Here is a 21,472-nt window from a genome sequence, read left to right as displayed (position 1 = left end):
GCTCACTGCAACCTCTGCATCCCTGGCTCAAGCAATCCTCCCACCTCAGCCTCCCAGGTAGCTGGGACCACAGGCACACACCACTATGCCCAGCTAATTTTCGTATTTTTTGTAGAGAGAGGGTTTCGCTATGTTGCCCAAGTTGGTCTCAAACTCCTGAGCTCAAGCAATCCACCCGCCTGAGCCTCCCAAAGTACTACGATTACAGCCTGGCCTGATACATATTTTTGAATGGATTAATGTGAACTCTAAAACTGATGTGATTATAAGAGCTTGGGAAAACCTTGCTTTTTCACTGTGACTTTGACAACTGGCCCTGCAGCATCTCAGTTTTAGCCAAAGAACACCACCATAAACCAATCAGATCTAATAGACATATACAGAACATTTCACCAAAAAGAGCAGAATACACGTTCTTCTCAAGTATACCACAGGACACTCTCTTAGACTGACCAGACCATATGTTAGGCCACAAAGTCTCAAATTTAAACAGACGAAAATCATACAAGTTACCTTCTCCAACCAAAAGGAAATGATGAGAAATTAATAACAAAAGGAAAAGTGGAAAATTCACAAGTATATGAAAATTAAACAACACATGGTAAACAATCAGTGGGTCAAAGAAGAAATCACAAGGGAAATTAGAAAATACTATGAGATGAATGAAAACACAACACACCAAAACTTCTGTGCTGGGCCAAAAGCAGGGCTAAAAGGGGCAATTATACTATAAAAGTCTGCATTTACAAAAGATGATCTCAAATCAATAACTCTACATCTGGAAGAACTAAAAAAATAAGAACACAATAAAAACCAAAGTTAGGCCAGGTGTCGTGCCTCACACCTGTAATCCCAGCAACTTTGGGAGGCTGAGGCAGGTAGATAACTTGAGCCCAGGAGGTTGAGGCTGCAGTGAGCCATGAGTGCGCCACTGTACTTGGGCCTGAGGGACAAAGTAAGACCCTGTCTCAAAACAAAGACAAAAACAAAAACAAAAAAATACAAAGCAGAAAGAAGGAAACGATAGAGATTAGAGCAGCCATAAATTAAATAGAGAATAGAAAAATAATCTACAAAACCAAAAGTTCGGTTTCTGGCAAGAACAAAAAATCTGACAAACTTTTGGTAAATTAAGAAAAAAAGAGGCCAGTCAAGGTGGCTCACGCCTCTAATCCCAGCACTTTGGGAAGCTGAGGTGGGCGGATCACAAGGTCAAGAGATTTAGATCATCCTGGTCAACATGGTGAAACCCCATCTCCACTAAAAATACAAAAAAAATTAGCCAGGCCTGGCGGCAGGCGCCTGTACTCCCAGCTTACTTGGGAGGCTGAGGCAGGAGAATCACTTGAATCCGGGAGGCGGAGGTTGCAGTGAGCCAAGACTGTGTCACTGCACTCTGGCCTGGCAACAGAGTGAGACTCCATCTCAAAAAAAAAAAAAAAAAAAGAAAAAAAAGAGAAAAGATGCAAATAACTAACATCAGAAATGTAAGTGGAGACAGTACTACCAACATAAAAATAAAAAAGATTATAAAAGAACACTGTGAACAACTGTATGCCAACAAATAAAATAGCCTAGATAAAATGGACACATTCCTAGAAACATAAATTACCCAAACTGACTCAAGAAGAAATAGAAAATCTGAATAGAGCCATAACAAGTAAAGAGATTGAATCGGTAATTAAAAATCTTTCAGGCCAGGCGCCGTGGCTCACGCCTGTAATCCCAGCACTTTGGGAGGCCGAGGCGGGTGGATCACGAGGTCAGGAAATCGAGAGCATCCTGGCTAACACAGTGAAACCCCGTCTCTACTAAAAATACAAAAAATTAGCCGGGCGTGGTGGCTGGCGACTATAATCCCAGCTACTCAGGAGGCTAAGGAAGGAGAATGGCGTGAACCCGGGAGGCGGAGCTTGCAGTGGGCCGAGATCACGCCACTGCAGTCCAGCCTGGGCAACAGTGTGAGACTCCGTCTCAAAGAAAAAAAAAAAAAAAATCTTTCAACAAAGAAAAGCTTAGGTGGTCAACTCTACCAAACATTTAAAGCTGAACTGACACCAATCCTCAAACTCTTCTAAAAACAGAATATATGGGAACACTACCTAGTTCATTCTATGAGGCCATTATTACCCTGATAACTGTAAAACAATAAAATATTGCTGAAAGAAATTAAAGAGGACAGAAATAAATGGAAAGACATTCCACATTCAGAGAATGGATGTTAACATTGTTAAAATGGCACTATTCCCCAAAACAATCTACAGATTCAATCCCTAGCAAAAATCCCAATGGTCTTTTTTTGCAGATATGGAAAAGCCAGCCTTGAAGTTCATGTGAAAATGCAAGGGACCCAAAGTAGCCAAAATCATCTTGAGAAAGAAAACACACTTCTCAATTTTAAAACAGTACAAAACTACAATGTTCAAAACAGGGCGGTACCTGCACAATTATCAACATATAGAATGTGATAATGTAATTGAGAGTCCAGAAATAAACCTAAATATCCACAGCCAACTGATTTTTGCCAAGGGTACCCAGAACTTCAGGGAAAGAACAGTCCTCAACAAGTGGTATTGAAACAATCAGATCAACAAAAGAAAAAGGCTGGACTCTTACCTCACACTGTGTAAAAGAAATTACCTAAAAATGGACCAAAGATCTAAATATAAGAGCTGAAACTATAAAACTTACAGAAGAAAACATGAGGATAATCTTCATCAACCTTGTGTTTGGAAATGGCTTTTTGGATATGATATCAAAAGCATAGACGACAAAAGAGAAACAGATAAATTGAACTTCATCAAAATAAAAAACTTCTCTATCTAAGGGAATACAATCCAGAGAACAGGAGAAAATACCCTCAAATGATATACCTGATAAAGGTCTACAGATCTGTGAAGGTCTAGTATACACGAACTTTTTAAAGAGTCTGAGGACTGGTGTTAATTCTTCTTTAAAGGTTTGATACACTTATATAGTGCATTTATTGGTACAACAAGATGACGACAAATAACCCTATTTAAAAAGGAGAAAGGGGCTGGGCGCAGTGGCTCACGCCTGTTATCCCAGCACTCTGGGAGGCCAAGGCAGGCAGATCACCTGAGGTCAGGAGTTCCAGACCAGCCTGGCCAACATGGCGAAATCCCATCTCTACTAAAAATACAAAAGTTAGCCAGGTGTGGTGGTGTGTGACTGTAATCCCAGCTACTTGGGAGGCTGAGGCACAAGAAGTGCTTGAACCCGGGAGGCGGAGGTTGCAGTGAGCCGAGATCGTGCCACTGCGCTCCAGCTTGGGCGACAGAGTGAGACTCCGTCTCAAAAAAATAAAATAAAAAATAAAGAGAAAGGGACTTGAATAGACACTTCTCCAAAGAAGATATACAAATGGCCAACAAGCACAAACATGTAAAGAAGCTCAATGTCATTCATCATTAGTGAAATGCAAACCAAAATCACAATGAGATACCACTTCACACCCGCTAGGATGGCCTTAATCCAAAAAAAAAAAGAAAACCACAAAAAATAGTGTTGGCAGGGAAGCAGAGAAACTGGAACCCTGGAATCCTGCCCACTGGTGATGGGAATGTAAAAATGATATGGCACTGTGGAAAACTTTGGTAGTTTCTCAGTAAGTTACACATAGTTGTACCATATGACCCTGTAATTCCAGTCCTAGGTGTATAATCAAAAGAACTAGAAACAAGTGTTCAAACAAGTACTTGTATATAAATGTTCCTAGCAGCACTATTCACAAAAGTCAAAAGGCAAAACCAACCCAAATGTCCATCAACAGATAAATGAGTAAACAAAATGTTATATATTCATACAATGAAATCTTTTTCAGCCATAAAAATAAAGTACTGATATATACCAAATGAAATAACCCAGACACAAAGGCCACAAATGGTATGATTCCATTTATATGAAATATCCGGGATATGCAAATCCATAGACAGAGAAAGCAGATTTGTGACTACCAGGGGCTGGAGAGCAGGGGAGTGAGGACTGATGGCTAAATGGGGTGCATTTATAGTGATGAAAAAGTTCTACAACTAGACAGTGGTGATGACTCTAGAAAATTGTGAATGTATTTAATACCGCTGAATTGCGACGTTAAAATGCTACACTTTCTGCTATTTGTGTCTTACCATAATTTACAAAAAGCTTTTTTTAAAAAAAAGAAAGAAAATAAATCAAAGCAAAATCTTGACGTTTTCCCAAAGGCTCTCAAGCCAGTGCAGACCTACCAATCAGGCGCAGTGCCGTCTGAGCGAGGGCCAGCGTGCCGGAATTGAGCAGGAGGTCAAGGTTGTTTGCGCTGTGCTGCAGGGTGAGCATGCTGAGCATCACCAGGAGGAAGTGGGCTTGCGGGATGGTCCCCAGGCTCGGTCCCGATGGGTTCTCATTGGTGATGGTTTGCAGGGGAACCGGCTGGATACCTAATGAGCATTGGCACCCACTGACATTTCTTGTAATGGATACAAGAATAAATGTAATGCAGAAAGCACGGGCAATTACTCTAAACATCTGACTAATAAGCACTGACACCCACTGACATTTCTTGTGCGTGGATACAAGAATAAACGTAACGCAGAAAGCATGGGCAATTACTCTAATCATCTGACTATTTTGACACCCACTGACATTTCTCTCGCATGGATACAAGCATAAACGTAACGCAGAAGGCACGGGCGATTACTCTAAACATCTGACTATTTTTCAGTGGTTTCCACAGAGTGGGCAGCTCTGTCATGCTGCACGATGGGCCTACCCCCTGCATTCTATGCACAGGTCGTTCCATCTGTCTACAGGACTTAGTATGTTGCTCTCTGAATACACCGGTGCCCTATTCCATTCCTTCCATTTCAAATATAAAAGTTATGTCTCACTTTTCCTCCATAAAATCAATCCAATCAACTCTCTGTAGATGCTCAAACTATCCAGGAAATAAATATCAATATAGGACACAGACACTTTAGGATATGTGGTGATACACATAAAAATGTCAAAATGTAAAAATGTTATACTAGAGTACTTCAACATTGTGTCTCCTGCTAAATTTTAAAGTTTTGTTTAAAATCTGAGAAAGCTGACAGCAGCATAGATTATACAAGTACAAAGTACAAACTTATTAAAGTCTTCTCAAAACCAAAAATTGGCATTTGCAAGTTTCCACAACATATAATTAAAGGCAAACTATAAAATAACATTGATACAATTATTGACTCACCAAGCTCTTTAAATTTGGCACTGGCATCCACCAAAACATTTCGAATGTTCTGAACAGCCCAAGCGTACAGCTTGCCAAAGGTGACTTCCAGCAGCATCCGATTAAAAGGCGGGATCAAATCAACATCCTTTAAACAATCAGTAAGAGGTTCCCTTTCAAATAAAGATAAAGAATTTGACTTGGGACACTGCCAGACTTCTAACTGTTACAGAAAAACATTCTGTTGCCACAGCTTCCTTAATTAAGAAAAAAATATGCTAACGTTTTACCCTATATCGATTCCCTCAGGAATAAGTCTTTGCCATCCACAAAACATTGCATATGGCACAGATGGAAGTAAGAAATTCTTGCTCACCAGATACAATTTTAAAATTGTATCTATCCCTTCCAGGCGAACCTCTGCTCTCTCCAACTGCAAAATATCAATGCATACAGTTAAGTGTTATGTATATTACCCAATGCAGAGAAGCATTTCTCATCAAATGTTACCTGTTTTAGTAGGCACTTTCTCTTTTCCACATCCACTGGCTCTTCTTTAAGGGCAAATTCAGCAATTGTACTGAGGAGTGGAGACTGCGGATAAAGACCCTGCACATTCTGCTTCAACCACTTGTATTTGTGAACACCTGTAACAGTACTCAACAGCGGCTGCCATTTGTCCTAACAAAGGAAAACAATTTTCATCATTAGTCTACCCTATTTAATAATAAACTGTGCTCTAAAAGTTATTCAAGTAAAATATAAATAATGCTTATGGGTTTAAATTGGTTAAAATACGTTAAATTTAGTAATACATGTTTTTAAAACTATGCTATAAATATAAGTGAATTTATAATCTCTATACTATATGTTGGAACAGGCTAGCTTGGCATACTAAGTTAAGTTATGGTTCATATTAACAGCCACAGGGCCCAGCACTGTTTCTGGAACAAAGAATATATTTAAGGAATGAATGGTGAATAATTAATGATACAATCTAATACCAAAAATAAAAGGAAACCCTTCTCCAGCTACAGCTCTGACCAGGACATCATAAGTCAAGTTCATGAAGCATCACTGGGGCCGTATTTCTAACAACCGCCCGTCCCTCCCTCCAGATGCTCAGGTACAGAGGTACAAGACTGTGGATTCCTGTGCTACATGCTACGATTCTATTCAGCCAACCTCAGAATCACAGAAAATACTGCACCTTGGGTGATTTAATTGCAATGGGTCTCTTGTCCACATTTATTGGACTATGAGGCAAAATGCAAGCTTCTTCTAAATCACTCTCTTCGTTTCCAATTTTTTCTTCATCATCCGTAGATTCTGGCTTCTTAGGAACTGTGTTTTAAAACATCATTCACTATAAAAATCATACACTTAAATATTAATTTTAAATTAAGACATATTTAGATTTACATGAAGGACAAATATTTCATTCAAATAAACATCTGAACAACATTATAAATTGCAATGCTCAACAAGAGTGAAATGATCACCCTGGCAGAACAAAAAGACAAAGTGAGAGTGCGACGAGGGGAGAAGCCCCGAAGCAGGGGAAGCCCGGCAGCCAGCAAGCTCTTCCTCAAGTGCCAGAGAGTGAACATTTGAGTCTTTCAGGCCATGCTGTCTGTCGCAAATACTCAACTCTGCTGCTGTAGCACAAAAAGTAACCACAGATAAAGCAACAGGTGTGGCTGTGCTCCTGTAAAACTTTATTTATGGTGCTACAATTTTAGCTTCATGTAATTTTCATGTGCCAAAATAATATACTTCTTTTAATTTTTAAATAACAATTTCAAACTGGAAAAAAAAAAAAGGTCTTAGTCCATGGGCAACCCAAAGCCAGCAAGAGGTAGAATTTGGCCCATAGTTCCTGGCTTGTCCACCCTGGTCCAGTTCAGTGGTTCTGTTACTGTGTAACTGAATCAACTGAATTCACTGTGATATGTGGAATTTCCTCCCTATACTTTATCTCTTTTAAAATTTTTGGTCTAAATCTCCTCAGCATATAATATAAAAAATAAGCAACATGATAATACATCTGGGCAGTAAAGAGCTAACATAGCAGGCCGGGGTTGCTCAAACCCTGCAAATTCCCAAGGAAGGTCTGTCCCTTCAGGATTGGTCCTTCTTCTAGGAGCTGAGCTCTGAGCCCTTGGAACATCCTGCCTGAGAAGTTTTTTGGTATACCTGACACCCAGGACCTTGTGGCAGTGGTCTGGCCAGGTAGTTTATGCTAATGATGGGACTTGCGAGGGACCACTTGTTTTTGCACTGGGGCACTGGAGCCTGAGTGAGGTCAGTCACAGGGGCACTGCCTGCGTATGTGACTGGCCCCCAACAAAATCTCTAGACTCGAGGCTCAGGTGCGCTGGCCTGGTTGACAATTCTTCACACATGATGTGACACTGTTGCTGGGAGAGCTAAGCACATCCACGTGACGCCACTGGGGAGAGACACCAAAGCGTGTGCCTAGTTTCCTCTGGACTTCCCTCCATGCACCCTTCCCTCTGCTAATTTTAATCTGTATCCTTTTTGCAGTAAAAACACAGCTGTGACTATAACAGCTCTTCTGAGTCCTTTTAGTGAATCATCAAGCCTGAGAGAAGGCTCGGGGATCCCTGACACAGCAACAGGAATATTAATCACTTAATCTTTTCAAGTTACTTAATTTCCAAAAAAAAAAGAAAACCAGCTTGAAACACCACACGATAAATCTATAAACCCACAAGAAACTCTAAAAGTGACAGTGTGGGCTCAGAACCCACGGATATGAGATGGCAAATGTGGAGTCTCTCTCCCTCATTCCGAGGCAGCCTGTCTCCTGGGCCCAGGCTGAGTTCCTGCATGCCTGGGTTAAAGGAATCGCAGCAGTGTGACTGCTGTGACTTCCTGATCCAGAGCACCCCTCGCATTCAGACAGGCTGTTATGGTGTAGGGTTTGTTCAGGAACAATCAAATTAGGATGGCTTCTAACACACTTTAGTCTTTCATAAGCTTATTGTTCAAAATGCCCATCAGAAAGTCAGTAATCAATACTGTTCAATAAGCAGGTTTGTGAGTAAATCAGTATAAGTCATAATATGATCAGAGGCCAGGCGCGGTGGCTCACGCCCGTAATCCCAGCACTTTGGGAGGCCGAGGCAGGCAGATCACGAGGTCAGGAGATCAAGACCATCTTGGCCAACATGGTGAAACTCCGTCTCTACTAAAATATAAAAATTAGCCAGGAGTGGTGGCGCGTGCCTGTAATCCCAGCTACTTGGAAGGCTGAGGCAGGGGAATCGTTTGAACCTGGGAGGCGGAGGTTGCAGTGAGCTGAGATCGCACCACTGCACTCCAGCCTGGCAACAGACCAAGACTCCATCTCAAAAAAAAAAAAAAAAAGGATATAATCAGAAATTTCTGTAGTTTATTTATAATCACAAGTGACTAAATTCTAAACTATTTTATAATTTCTAAGCATTTTTATTCAAATTTGGATTTAATGCAAAAAGACTTTTCTGTACCCTTACACAGCTACTTCCAGGAAAATGTCAGTAACTCTTTTAGCTTCCCTTTATAGTTCTTCATGTATCAGAATACTCAATATTTCCAAACAAAAAACATTTCTTTAGAAGAATGGCAATAAGTTTAAATGTTCCCATTATATCTCATTACCAGGATAACTAATAAAAGTACTTCCTTGTTCCCATCAATTTAGCAAAGATTATTTACGTTTTCAACATCAATTTACTAGTAATCAAATCATACCACACTCAATTCCTAAACTGCCTCATTGTCTGATCATTTGGAAAAATAAGCGAGATGTCTGTATTTAATCCTAACTATAATAAAAATGATGGCAGCAGGTAGAAATGTTACATGGAATCAACAGTAGAGAAACTTCACTCTGAAATCACAGATCCAACGTGGCAGGGTGAAGCACAAGCTTTAATAGTATCTTCTGTCCTTTTACATTCTTACCTCTCTTTTTCCTTGGTTCTCGAATTATCTTCTGAGCTATCCTCCTCCAATGGGGCAAAGAACTTAACAATTTAAACTTAGACATTATAGAGAGGTCATTACAAACAGCAGGTCTCAATTCATTAAAGAGGAATCTCAAACGTTCGATGACAGGAGCGCAGACCTCCTTGTAAGAACGGTCCTGTTCTTGATGAGTCTGCAAAGTTAACCAGGAAAAGACAACTTTAACAACAAATATTTCAGCAACTGTCTGCAAAGCACAGAATAAAAAGAATTAAAATCTATCACCTTAATGAGCGAACATTTTGCTTGGTAGACAACTCTACAAACATCCACCACTGACTTAGGCAACGTTCTGTGCTTTACTTGCTCAATACCAAGTGCACCTGCATGAACTAAAGATAATGCCACATGACCTGTAAAAAGACATTTAAAAGAAGGGCAGTGAAGGAATGAATACGTACCACAGGTTAGTCGAGGAATCTGCAGTGTAGCTAAAGTACAAAGATATTGAGCTCCTTACCTAAATCTTCATGTTTTAAGAGGCAACATAACAGCAAGCGACCGACCTCTTCCACGGGATGCTCGGGGGGAAACATGATCGGTGTGGTCAAATGGCACTGCCTACAGTACCTTTCTATTTGACACAAAAAGTCCTGCAACAGGAACAGCTGGAAGTAACTTCAGGGAAACCCAGTGAGTCTTCACAAATCTTAAACATGCCACAGCTTCTGACGCACTTGCAATCACTAATGCTTCTGAAGCCTCGCTAGCATGTTAACACAATCAGGTTCTCACCTCAAAACCCTCCAAATAATACATGAAACAAAGTCTGTGCTGTGTTAACCAAAGAGCACATAAGTATTCCTATGTCAAAGTCCTCAGATAAACAGAGCACTGAGGTGGCAGTGGGGGCAGGCCTAGCTCACCTTCACGTTGTGATCCTGAATGTTGTTGTCTGCAATGGCTTGCAGAAATGCCTGGGAATGGTCCCCCAGGGCCCGTCTGTGGGAGCAGAGTCGAGATTTGCTGGCAGGTGTGCCCCCTGGGGAGCTGCAGTGGTCCTCGTCTTTCTCCTCGTTGTAGCTGTAGTGGATCTGGCTGGTCTGCAGGCCTCCAGAGAAGATGGATGACTGAAGCCATTCTAGAAAATGCACACGCAAACATGAAAGAGAAACTCAAGTGCACAACTCAAAATAAATACTAAAAAAAAAAAAAGATGCTCAACTGAACACTCAATTTAGAAGGTGAAATTCAGCATCATTCATATGAAAGAGCTCCACCTAACATGTTTACACAGGTTGACTTATAATTCCTCTATCTACGTGAACACACTTTCTGGTGATTCCACACGCCTCAGGCATGGCATCAGAACTCAGGATCGTAGTTCCAGTCCAACATTCTCTGGATACCTGTGCTCTGCCTGCAGCTGCCTGGTTCCACAGGTACCGTGTGAAGACTGAGGTGCACATTCTAACAGGGAAGGCAGCAAAGGGCACCGCTGACACAATTAATCACAGGATTTCAAGTCCAAAACTGTGCAACAGATGACTATGGGGGTACCAGGGAGACTGGAAGACAGACCACCGCTATTCTGAGGGTCAGTGAGGGACTTGTGGAAGCAACAACTGAGCTAAGATGAGGAATAAGACCCAGACGCTGAGTATCCAGGCAGGGAACAGCACATCTGAAGGGTTTCTACAAAGAATTACATCCTCAGGGTAGGCTATGTATTCCTAGAGCACTTATAAAGGAATGAAAAGGAGAAAATATTTAAGAAACACACAATCTGTAATGAAGGATAGATCCTTGGAGATGGGAGGGCCGATGGACTGGAAAGGAGACCTGTGCGTGGTGCAAGGCATGGGATCAACCAGTGCGAATGTTAATTACAACTGCTTATGGCAACTTGAGGGAGTGCACCACTACAGATCTCTATTAACAATCTGTGTTATCAAATACTGCTCCAAATCCAAGCAATCAAAGCGGGATGCACTTAGTGTTCTTTTACTGGACATTTAGATTTTAGAGCACTCAGGAGCATTCCCCAACACACCACATTCGTTCTTCTGAAACACTAATCCAATGCCGACTCTCTCTGGCCCCCTCTCTTTAAGCACAGGACAGCCCCTCCTTACTGCTCCAAGATAAGCCTCTGATCCTCCTGTGGATCGGACCCACCTGCCAGGGCCCATGGCACCCTCTGCCCTGGAGCTCGCCAGCCCTGCCCTCCTTGCCAATTTAAACAAAGCCCATCTTCTGGCAAGCAATGAACCTTGAGGAGGAGGGAAGGAAGCAGACACCTCAGAGGGCACCACAGGCAGCCCAGCACCTAGCACTGCACAAAGGTCCGCCCAACGGGGGGCTGTATGGACACCAAGATCCTCCTTCCCTGCAAGCCTCTGCCACACCCACTCCTGCAAGCAGCAGGAAAGCCCTGCTCCTCTCAGCAGTGCCCTTGACACTCCTGTGTTTTCTGCCCCGAATGCTCTCTCACGCAATTTCAGGACTGCTGCCAATGTGAAGCCTTTCTTCTCCCAGAACCATGTATGAACATCTCCATTTCACCATTCACCACCTTGTAATGTGACCTGCTTAGAATGGTGGCTCATCAACAAGCAGCAGCTGAAAGCAGAGGCGTGTCCTACCCATCACTGCATCCTGAACACCTCGCATGGTAACGGCACCAGAAAGCAGAGGTGTGTCCTATCTATCACTGTATCCTGAACACCTCGTATGGTAACGGCACCAGGCAAATGCTCAACAGAAGCTGCTCACATGGATGGACAGACAGACAGATGGGAAATGCACAACTACATGAAGGAAAATGTAAACCCATCTTAGGAGACAGGAAGAAACTTATTATTTTAGGTGGTTACAAAGGCTGCCATCCTGAAATATAACTGACTTGAGCCTGGTCTGGTAAAAACGCAGTGCTCAAATAGTATGCTCTTCCCTGAGAGGACAGCTGATCCACATTCTGTGCAATTTCTGGGCATGCAGGGAGACAAAAGCCATGCTGGGCCCATCAGGCAGAGGCTGCAATACGTGAGACCACCAAGGGCAGACGGGTAGACATTCCTGCACACTTTTTAGCTTCCTCTGCAGCAACAGACCATGAGGGCAAATGACAACCACTCACAGCTGTTTCTACCTGATTGAGTCTCACTATCCTTATTATTATTATTTTTATCATCATCAACTGTGTTGAATCCTCCTCTCCTTTTTTTTTTTTGAGACCGAGTCTCGCTCTTGTCACCCAGGCTGGAGTGCAGTGGCATGATCTCAGCTCACTGCAACCTCCGTCTCCTGGGTTCAAGCAATTCTCCTACCTCAGCCTCCCGAGTAACTGGGATTACAGGCACCCGTCACCACACCCAGCTAATTTTTGCATTTTTAGTAGACATGGGGTTTCACCACATTGGCCAGGCTGGTCTTGAACTCCTGACCTCAGGTGATCCACCCGCCTCAGCCTCCCAAAGTGCTGGGATTACAGGCATGAGCCACTGCCTGGCCATCTCCTGCTTTTTTAAAGAGAGAGTCTTGCTCTGTCACCCAGGCTGGAGTGCAGTGGTATGATCATGACTCACTGCAGCCTCAACCTCCCAGGCTCAAGCAATCCTCCTACCTCAGCCTCCTGAGTATCTGGGACTACAAATACGTGCCAACATGCCTGGCTAATTTTTGTGTTTTTTGTAGAGATGGGGTTTTGCCATGTTGCCCAGGCTGGTCTCAAACTCTTGACCTCAAGCAATCCACGTGCCACAACCTCCCAAACTGCTGGGATTACAGGCATGAACCACTGTGCCTGGCCCTCTCCCACTCTTAATGGCACTTACAGTTCAAAAAAAAATAATCTGCTGATCAGCAAAAAGCAAAGATTTTCTTACTGGCACATTCAATCTCGACAGGAGACAGCGGTGTGCTCATTGCCAAATAGGAAGCGTGTAATCCGAGAAGCAGGCCCAGATTCCTCTCTGTGTCTATCAGAGGTGAAGAGAGACTCCCCAGATCTGGTATGGTGACGATTTCTTGGTCAGGCTGGAAAAATAAATTTCATCATCAATCTGAGGAAACAGAATTAATTAAAAACATAAAACCAAAAGGACAGCTCTGTCCTGCAGCTGTAACCGCACGTGAGCCCAGGGGTGCTCTGGGCATTCTGCCCCTCCATCCTGTAATGAGTTGATGCTGCTGTGCCCAAGTAACAGCAGATACCACATAAACCCACAAAAGACCCAGATATCAGTACTTCTAGATCCAAATATTCCTATCACAAACACACAGAGGGTATCCCCTGCCATCCTCTGCATCACTCAAGGCATACAGCCTCACCTCCAAATACTGGCCAACACAAAATGCGTGCATGGATTCCCGGGTGTCTTCAAACTGCAAAGCAGCTTCCAAAGCTACCACTGGGTCTTCCCCTGCAAACTGAGCTGAAACAAAAAGGGAAAAAGCAACATGAGTTCAATTCAGCTTGCCTGAAGAGCTACAGGAGAAATAGTGAGTAGGAAATAAGTTAGGCTCTTAACTCAAAAGTGAGGGTTACCAGAATATAATGACCTCCCACTGTCTCCCAGGGTTGCCTGGGCCAACTCGGAACTTGAAATGAGTTCCAAGTATTAAAACAAAAGATACATAATGAAAGGAAATTCTTCGAATGTGCTGAATTTGTTGATAAGACAGACACCAAAGCCACAGATACATTAAAATATGCGGGGGCTGGCACAAAACTAAAGGAATCATTTATAAGCCAAATACTCTGCTTAAAATGATACAGGCTGTAACTTTTAACCAGGAAATAACAAGTGTAATCTTACCAAGAATACTATTTTCTGTTAACGACTGTGTCTGGAAGTCCTTTATATCATACACTTTCCCGTCAATCACAGTCCAGAAGCCTCCATCGTTATTATGGTTCTCCAAATCAGCTATGCGTACAAGTGTCACTTTCTCATTATTTCTACAGTTCTGACCTGTAAAAAATGACTCTGTATATACAGAAACCAGAATCAGTCCATTGATCAATCAACAGGTAAAATGAAAAGAACAAACTGTGTGAAAGAACTACAAGCAGAAATAAACAAATCCACAATCACAATGGGAGAAATACATACCTAGCTCTGAAACTAATACCACACATACAAATTCTGTTAAATATAGAATGCTTTAAAAAAAAGGTCTAGGCAGCATGAATACCAAATCGGGCCATGCCAGGCCATAGAGTAAATCTCAACAGATTTCAAAGAAATAAACTTACAGAGCATGTGTGCTGACTACAATGCAGTTAAATTACAAATAGGTTTTCAAAAATTCATTCAAAATAAAATAAAAATGACTCTGTATACACAGAAAATAAAAATATTCATCCACATATTTGAAAATTACAAGATACACTTATAAGTAACCCAAAATTCTAAGAAAAAATGACTATGAAAATTAGAAAATGTGTTCAGTTAATAATCAAAATACTGCAGATCGAAATTGGTGACATACAACTAAATGCATGCTTGAGGGCATTTATGCCTTTAAATGTATATATTTACACATTAAAGGGGGAAAAAGCTAAAAAAGAAAAGAAACACCAAATCAATAAAAGTCTGTTAGTTCATAAAAATACTCAAAAAAAAGAAAACCTGAGTGGTGGTCACCTATGCAAGTGCTAGGATACCAACTCAATATTATGAAAAATAGTTAAAGGGAGGTGGCAGTTCAAGAAGTCAAGCTTAGATTATGTCCTTCCTGTACAAATTGTACCTCCTGCTAACCAGACAGCAGAGGGCAAGGTTGGTAGGGGATTTTATAGAGGATACGCAACACATGAATTCCCTGGTCTAGCTTCACAGAACTAAAGCGGGGAGCCACCGAGCATTACAGGCCTCCTGAGCCAACAGAAAGCATGCAGCATGACCCCAGACATAACACCGCCCCAACGAGACTGAATTCAAATCCAACCAAACCTCTAGATCTAACCAGCAGATTAATGTAACTAACAGAAGAACATGTTGGTCTAGAATAAGAGAATGCAATCAACCAAGTTCAGAAAATGTGAAGTTCTCCAAAATAACCAACCTGCTTCTTTGAAAAAGAAAACGGTATGATCAGAGACAGGGAGAAGAGGGCCTGGAGCCATGTTGTTTGGGGAAAGAGACTAGAAGCATATGTCAAGCAATGCCAATACGCAGAACATGCTCAGGTCTTAATTCAAAATTACCACCTAAAAAAGGCATTTTTGAGATAGTCCAGGAAAATGTAACATGGACTGCATGTTAGATTAAGGAATCACTGTTAATCTTATAGACAGGATAATGATATTGTAGGGTTTTTTTAAAATCCTTATCATTAAGAGGTAAAATACCTTAAAATGTTTTAAAGACAGAGTTATGCTTTAAAATAATCCAATCAGCCGGGCGCGGTGGCTCATGCCTATAATCCCAGCACTTTGGGAGGCCGAGGCGGGCAGATCATGAAGTCAGGAGATCGAGACCATCCTGGCTAACACAGTGAAACCCCATCTCGTACCATGCCATATTACTGCATTTAACAGGTATGATGAAGCAACTGAACAGGCTATTTTTCCATTTCCATTGCATTTCAACAGAGCCCATTAAAAAGTAGTATAAATGGCCCTTAAATACTAATATATTTTAAAATGCTCAAACTATATCGGGGTCACCACTTTGTGCTTTAGCAGGCAAAATCCCAAAAGCCCACACACAAGGCTGGGAGACCAGCATCCCTATTGGTGGTGAGAGAAATCAAGATGTACAGGAGCAATCTGGTGACAACCAGCCCACACGAGGTCCATCCCCACCTGTGCATGTGCACAGGCACACACGCGTGCACACATGGAGGACACGTGTTCCAGGCCAGGCCTTGCAGTACTATTTGTGTTTTCTGTTGTTGTTGTTTGAGATGGAGTTTCACTCTTGTTGCCCAGCCTGGAGTGCAGTGGCGCGATCTCGGCTCACTGCAACCTCTGCCTCCCAGGTTCAAGCGATTCTCCTGCCTCAGCCTCCCAAGTAGCTGGGATTACAGGCATCCGTCACCACGCCCCGCTAATTTTTGTATTTTTTAGTAGAGACGGGGTTTCTCCAAGTTGGCCAGGCTGATCTCAAACTCCCAACCTCAGGTGATCCACCCACCTCGACCTCCCAAAGTGCTGGGATTACAGGCGTGAGCCACTACACCCGACCCTCAGCACTATTTGTATAGCAACATTGTGGCAATAAGCCCAAGTGTCCACCAATAAGAGACTCACTAAAGAAAGATAGATAAAAGACACATCCACACACTGAAGACTAAGCTGATTTATAAAAACAAAGAGGGACACTCTGATAAGGTACTCCAGTATATATGGTTAGTTAAAAAAAAAAAACAAAAAACAAGCAACACAAGTAATGAAGCATGCTACCACGAACGTACTCATGCCAGAGAACAAGGAGGTTACAGAGGAGACTGGAAAGTCAGAGGGAGCAGGTGGGAAAATGGGTGGAAGGGGTGGGCAGGGGAAGCGACAGTGTGTCTCTGCCTAGGTTTGATTTTTGAACCATGTGACTGTATTTTTTTTTTTAATGACTGTAAAACAAAATAAATACTCTTTATACTAGAAATAAAATGTTAGAAAAATCTGGATTCAAAACTAGGATTACTGTTCTGCACTGGCAAAGTTCACTACCATTCCCAAAGGCAGTTTTCTCATTGACATAATGAGATACAACAGCGTGCATGAGGTCCTCAGCGGGCCTGCACCCTACAGGTGCTCCACACATGCAAATCACTACCATTACTATTACATAAGAGATATAATACATAATTATACTGTCACTACTATAACCAGCATGACATACTAAGACAGCCTGCGTTCAGAGTATGAAGAAGGCTGTGGAACCCCCTGCAGAAGGTGGGAGGGCCTGGGGCTGTGGATAAAGGGGAGCTCTCTGGGGCTGTGCCACCTGAACCTGGAACCCGGGCCCCCAGGTTGGGTCGCCAGGCCTGTGCGCCTCAGCTTGCTCATCACTCACTCTCAACACGGATAACACCTTCAACTGCAAACACGTTTAAAAACCACAGGCCAGCTCCCCCTACCAATACCAGAAAAAACAAGTCTCCACACGGGCCCAGGATGAGAACCTACAAGTGGTACTAGCTACAAAACACATGGAGAACACGGTTCTTGCACACACCTTATGAGACGTCGGAGAGCTACACAGAGGAGGCATCTACAGGGTGTAGCCAGACGGTCTAAATGGGCCATGACAACAACCGCCGTTTGTTGCAGATCAATGGCAAGCCTGTTGTCTTGTGGAAGGGTGAGGTACCTCAGGAAACTCTCACTGGGGCTCAGAGGACCACACAAAAGCTAGAAAGGAAAAGTAAACAAAAATTCAGAACTGGTGGGAAAAACTAAAGTAACACAGTTTTTTACCCACGCTTTATATTTTGGTATTGACTCACTTGACCCATCAAATGACAATGTTGATGATACAGTTATACTATACGTCTATATATTTATGCAGCATATAAACTGTATAAATCTCTAAATCTGCTGTATACATGTACACAACATTGACTGTGCATGTATACATTTATGATACCATAGGTAAGTTGAATCCACACAGATTACTAACATGACCAAACCACTCTACAAGCCTAGGACCCCTGGAGAAAGGCAGAACCACCTCTGTGGGAACCCAGCACAGCATCTCAAGCTGGCCTTGAAATCTAAAACCAAAACCTTTATTTTAATCCACTCTGGAGAACACCTACTTTCATTTGCAAATTAAATCACAGTTCTAATTCTTCTAAAGGCAGAAGACCCCTATTATCATTAGTTTAAAGACTGCCAAATAATAGGCTGGGCATGGTGGCTCACACCTGTAATCCCAGCACTTTGGGAGGCCGAGGCAGGCAGATCACAAGGTTAGGACTTTGAGACCACCCTGGCCAACATGGTGAAACCTCATCTCTATTAAAAATATAAAACTGAGCTGGGCATGGTGGCGGGTACCTATAATCCCAGCTACTCGAGAGGCTCAGACAGGAGAATCATTCGAACTAGGGAGGCGGCAGTTGCAGTGAGCTGAGAACGTGCACTGCACTCCAGCCTGGGAAACAGGCAGAGACTCCGAAGACGGGAAGGGACGGGATGGGACGGGATAGGACAGGACGGGATGGGATAGGACGGGACGGGAAGGGAGAAAGAAAGCAATGTACCCGCAAAACAAACAAACAAACAAAAAAACAGTCTCGGGGACCTATGGGACTATAACAACTCCGGTCACTGAACTCACGAAGGGACAGGAGAAAGAAGGTGGGGCTGAAACTGTACTCTATGAAGTGATGGCTTACAAGTTCCCAAATTTGGCAAGAGACATAAATCTACAGATCTAAGGTAAGCAAACCCTAAACAGGATGAACCCAAAGAAATCCAAACTAAGACATATAATAATCAAACTCCAAAAAACAAAAGACAAAACATTTCAAAAGCCACTAAACAAAAACAGTGCCTTAACTATCGTGGATTAACAAGTCAAATGACAGCGAATTTCTCATCAGAAACCATGGAGCCCAGCTGAAAGTACAAAATATTTTTCAAGCGATGAAAAGAACCATTAACCCAGAATTCTTATATCCAGCAAAAATGTCCTTCAGGAATGAAAAGGAAAGCAAAACATTCTCAGAGGAAGTGAAACAGAATTTGTCACCAGAAGACCCACACCAAAAGAAAGGCTAATGGAAGTTCTCTAAGCAGAATGGCAACCATCAAAGAAGAAAACCCTGGAACTTCTGGAAGGAGGAGATGACAAGCACACCAACGCATAAATACAATAGACTTTTCCCTCACCTCTTGACTTTGCTAAATTATGTCTGAAGGTTCAACCAAAAATTATAACATTGTCATATGTGGTTATCAATGTAAGTAAATGAAATATTTAAGGCAAGTATATTATGAACAGAAGAACATAAAGGAACATCAAAGGAGGTAGTTTCTATATCCCTGAAGCTGGTAAATGACAACATCAGGTAAAATCTGATAAGTGTTCATACATACACAGGCTGAGTGTCCCTTATAAAATGCTCAGGAGCACAAGTGTTCCAAATTTCAGATTTTTATCAGATTTAGGAATATCTGCATATAAATAATGAGATATTTTGGGGATAGGACCCAAGTCTAAATACATTCATTTATGTTTTATATATAACTTACACACAGAGCCTGAAGGTAATTTTATATAGCATGCTTAGTAATTTTGTGCATGAAACAAAGTTCATGCTAAGTACTTATGAATGGAATTTTCAATTTGGGGGCGTCATGCTGGAGTGCCATAAAGTTTCGAATTTTGGGGCATTTCAGATTTTGGATTTTGGGTTTACAGATGCTCAATCTGTATGTAATATATTACCTAGAAAAGCCACTAAAAAAGCTATACAAAAAGATACACTCTAAAACACTACAGATGAAATAGAATGCTAAAAATGGTCAAGTAAACCACAGAGAGCCAGGAAGAACCAAACCGAAAAAATGAAAAACAGAAGAAATAGAAAATGCAAAACAAAATGGCAGTGTTAAGCCTCAATTTATCAATGACATTAAATTAAATGTAAACAATCTAAATACATCAATTAAAAGACACTAGGAGAGTAGACTAGAGAACATGATCCAACTATATGTTGTCCATAAGAAAGTGACTTCAAACAGGCAAACTGAAAATAGAAGTATAGAAAAAAAAAGATCATGCAAACATTACTGAAAGGACAGCAGGAGTTGGCTATATTTATATCAAATAAAGTAAACTTCAGAACAAAGATAATTACCAGGAGGGCCGGGCACAGTGGCTCACGCCTGTACTCCTAGCACTTTGGGAGGCCAAGGTGGGTGGATCTCAGGAGTTTGAGACCAGCCTGGCCAATATGGCAAAACCCCATCTCTACTAAAAATACAAAAATTAGCTGGGTGTGATGGCAGAAGCCTATAATCCCAGCTTCTCAGGAGGCTGAGGCAGGAGAATCACTTGAACCTGGTAGGGTCGGAAGTTGCAGTGAGCTGAGATCATGCCACTTCACTCCTGCCTGGGCAAAAGGAGCGAAACTCCGTCTCAAAAAAAAAAAAAGATAATTACCAGGAACCAACGGCAACATTACAAAATGAGAACTTGGTCAATCCACCATTAAGACACAGCAATTCGAAACGTGCAGACACCAAACAAACAAAAAAACAATGAACAGAACCGAAAGGAGAAAAAGACATTTATACTTTTATAGTTGGAGACCTCAAAATCTCTCTCTACAGCTGATAAAATTAGGAGACAGAAAAGCTGCCAGGATATAGAACGCAACATCACCATCCATCAACTAGAGCCAATCAAAATTTATAGAACACTCCAGCCAATAATAACAGAATACATAATCTTTTCAAGTATCCACAAAACAAATACTAAGTTAGAACATATTCTGAGGCATAAAACAAACCTAACAAATTTTTTGAAATTAAAATCACACAGCATATGTTCCCTCAAACAATGGGAACAAATCTGAAGTCAACAAGAGAACAATTACAGGAAAATTGCCTAACTCTCAGAAACTAAACAATAAACTTTTACATAACCCATGGATCAAAGAGAAAGTCTCAAGGGAAATTTTAAAATATATTGTGAACTGAGAGAAAATGCAAGTACAATACATCAAAATGTATGGGAAAGAGCTACAGTGGGTGACGAGAGACAAATTTACAGCACTAAATGAATGGTACATTAGAAACTTGGAAACAAATCAATAATATAAGTGCCCACGTTGACAACCTAAAAGAAAATTAAAAATAGCAAAATCAACCCAAAAGTAAGCAGAAAGGAAGAAATAATTAAGGTAAGAGTAGAAACAAAGTGAAAACAGAAAAACAATAAACAGTAAAGCAAAAAGCTGGTTCTTTGAAAAGATCAATAAAACTGACACACCTCTCTAAGCAAGACTGACAAAAAAAAAAAAGACATAAATTACCCAACATTAGTGATGAAACAGGCTCTAAAGATATGAAAAAAGATAATTAGGAATTACTAGGAACAACTCTACACACATAACTTTGACAACTTGGGCAAAATAGACTTATTCCTCAAATAATGCAAATTACCACAACTCACCAAATATAAAATAGATCATTTGAATAGCTCTACCACTATCAAGAAAACTGAATTCATAATTCAAAGAATCCCAAAAAAAAAAAAAGAAATTACCAGATCCAAATGAACTCACTGGATAATTCCATCAAACATTAAAAAAGAATTAACACAG

At 41.5% G+C, this 21,472-nt stretch overlaps 1 protein-coding gene across 1 annotated transcript in view; it reads right to left on the bottom strand.

Annotated features, from left to right (window-relative positions):
- The window catches only part of LOC124903450 (putative HERC2-like protein 3), a 38,644-nt gene that overhangs the window by 3,891 nt on the left and 13,281 nt on the right, over positions 1-21,472 (bottom strand). Inside the window, exons 4-15 of the mRNA XM_047433403.1 lie at positions 14,005-14,175; positions 13,517-13,620; positions 13,072-13,222; positions 10,111-10,325; positions 9,705-9,837; positions 9,470-9,597; positions 9,182-9,377; positions 6,420-6,553; positions 5,720-5,890; positions 5,500-5,642; positions 5,231-5,382; positions 4,248-4,439 (exon numbers count right to left, since the gene is read on the bottom strand). Of these exons, the coding sequence (XP_047289359.1) occupies positions 4,248-4,439; positions 5,231-5,382; positions 5,500-5,642; positions 5,720-5,890; positions 6,420-6,553; positions 9,182-9,377; positions 9,470-9,597; positions 9,705-9,837; positions 10,111-10,325; positions 13,072-13,222; positions 13,517-13,620; positions 14,005-14,175 (1,890 nt within the window). The remainder of the gene's footprint in view (positions 1-4,247; positions 4,440-5,230; positions 5,383-5,499; positions 5,643-5,719; positions 5,891-6,419; positions 6,554-9,181; positions 9,378-9,469; positions 9,598-9,704; positions 9,838-10,110; positions 10,326-13,071; positions 13,223-13,516; positions 13,621-14,004; positions 14,176-21,472) is intronic.

The sequence above is a fragment of the Homo sapiens genome, chromosome 15 (assembly GCF_000001405.40).
Source record: "Homo sapiens chromosome 15, GRCh38.p14 Primary Assembly".
NCBI classification, from domain to species: Eukaryota; Metazoa; Chordata; class Mammalia; order Primates; family Hominidae; genus Homo; species Homo sapiens.
This window is presented reverse-complemented; position numbering and strand designations above follow the sequence as displayed.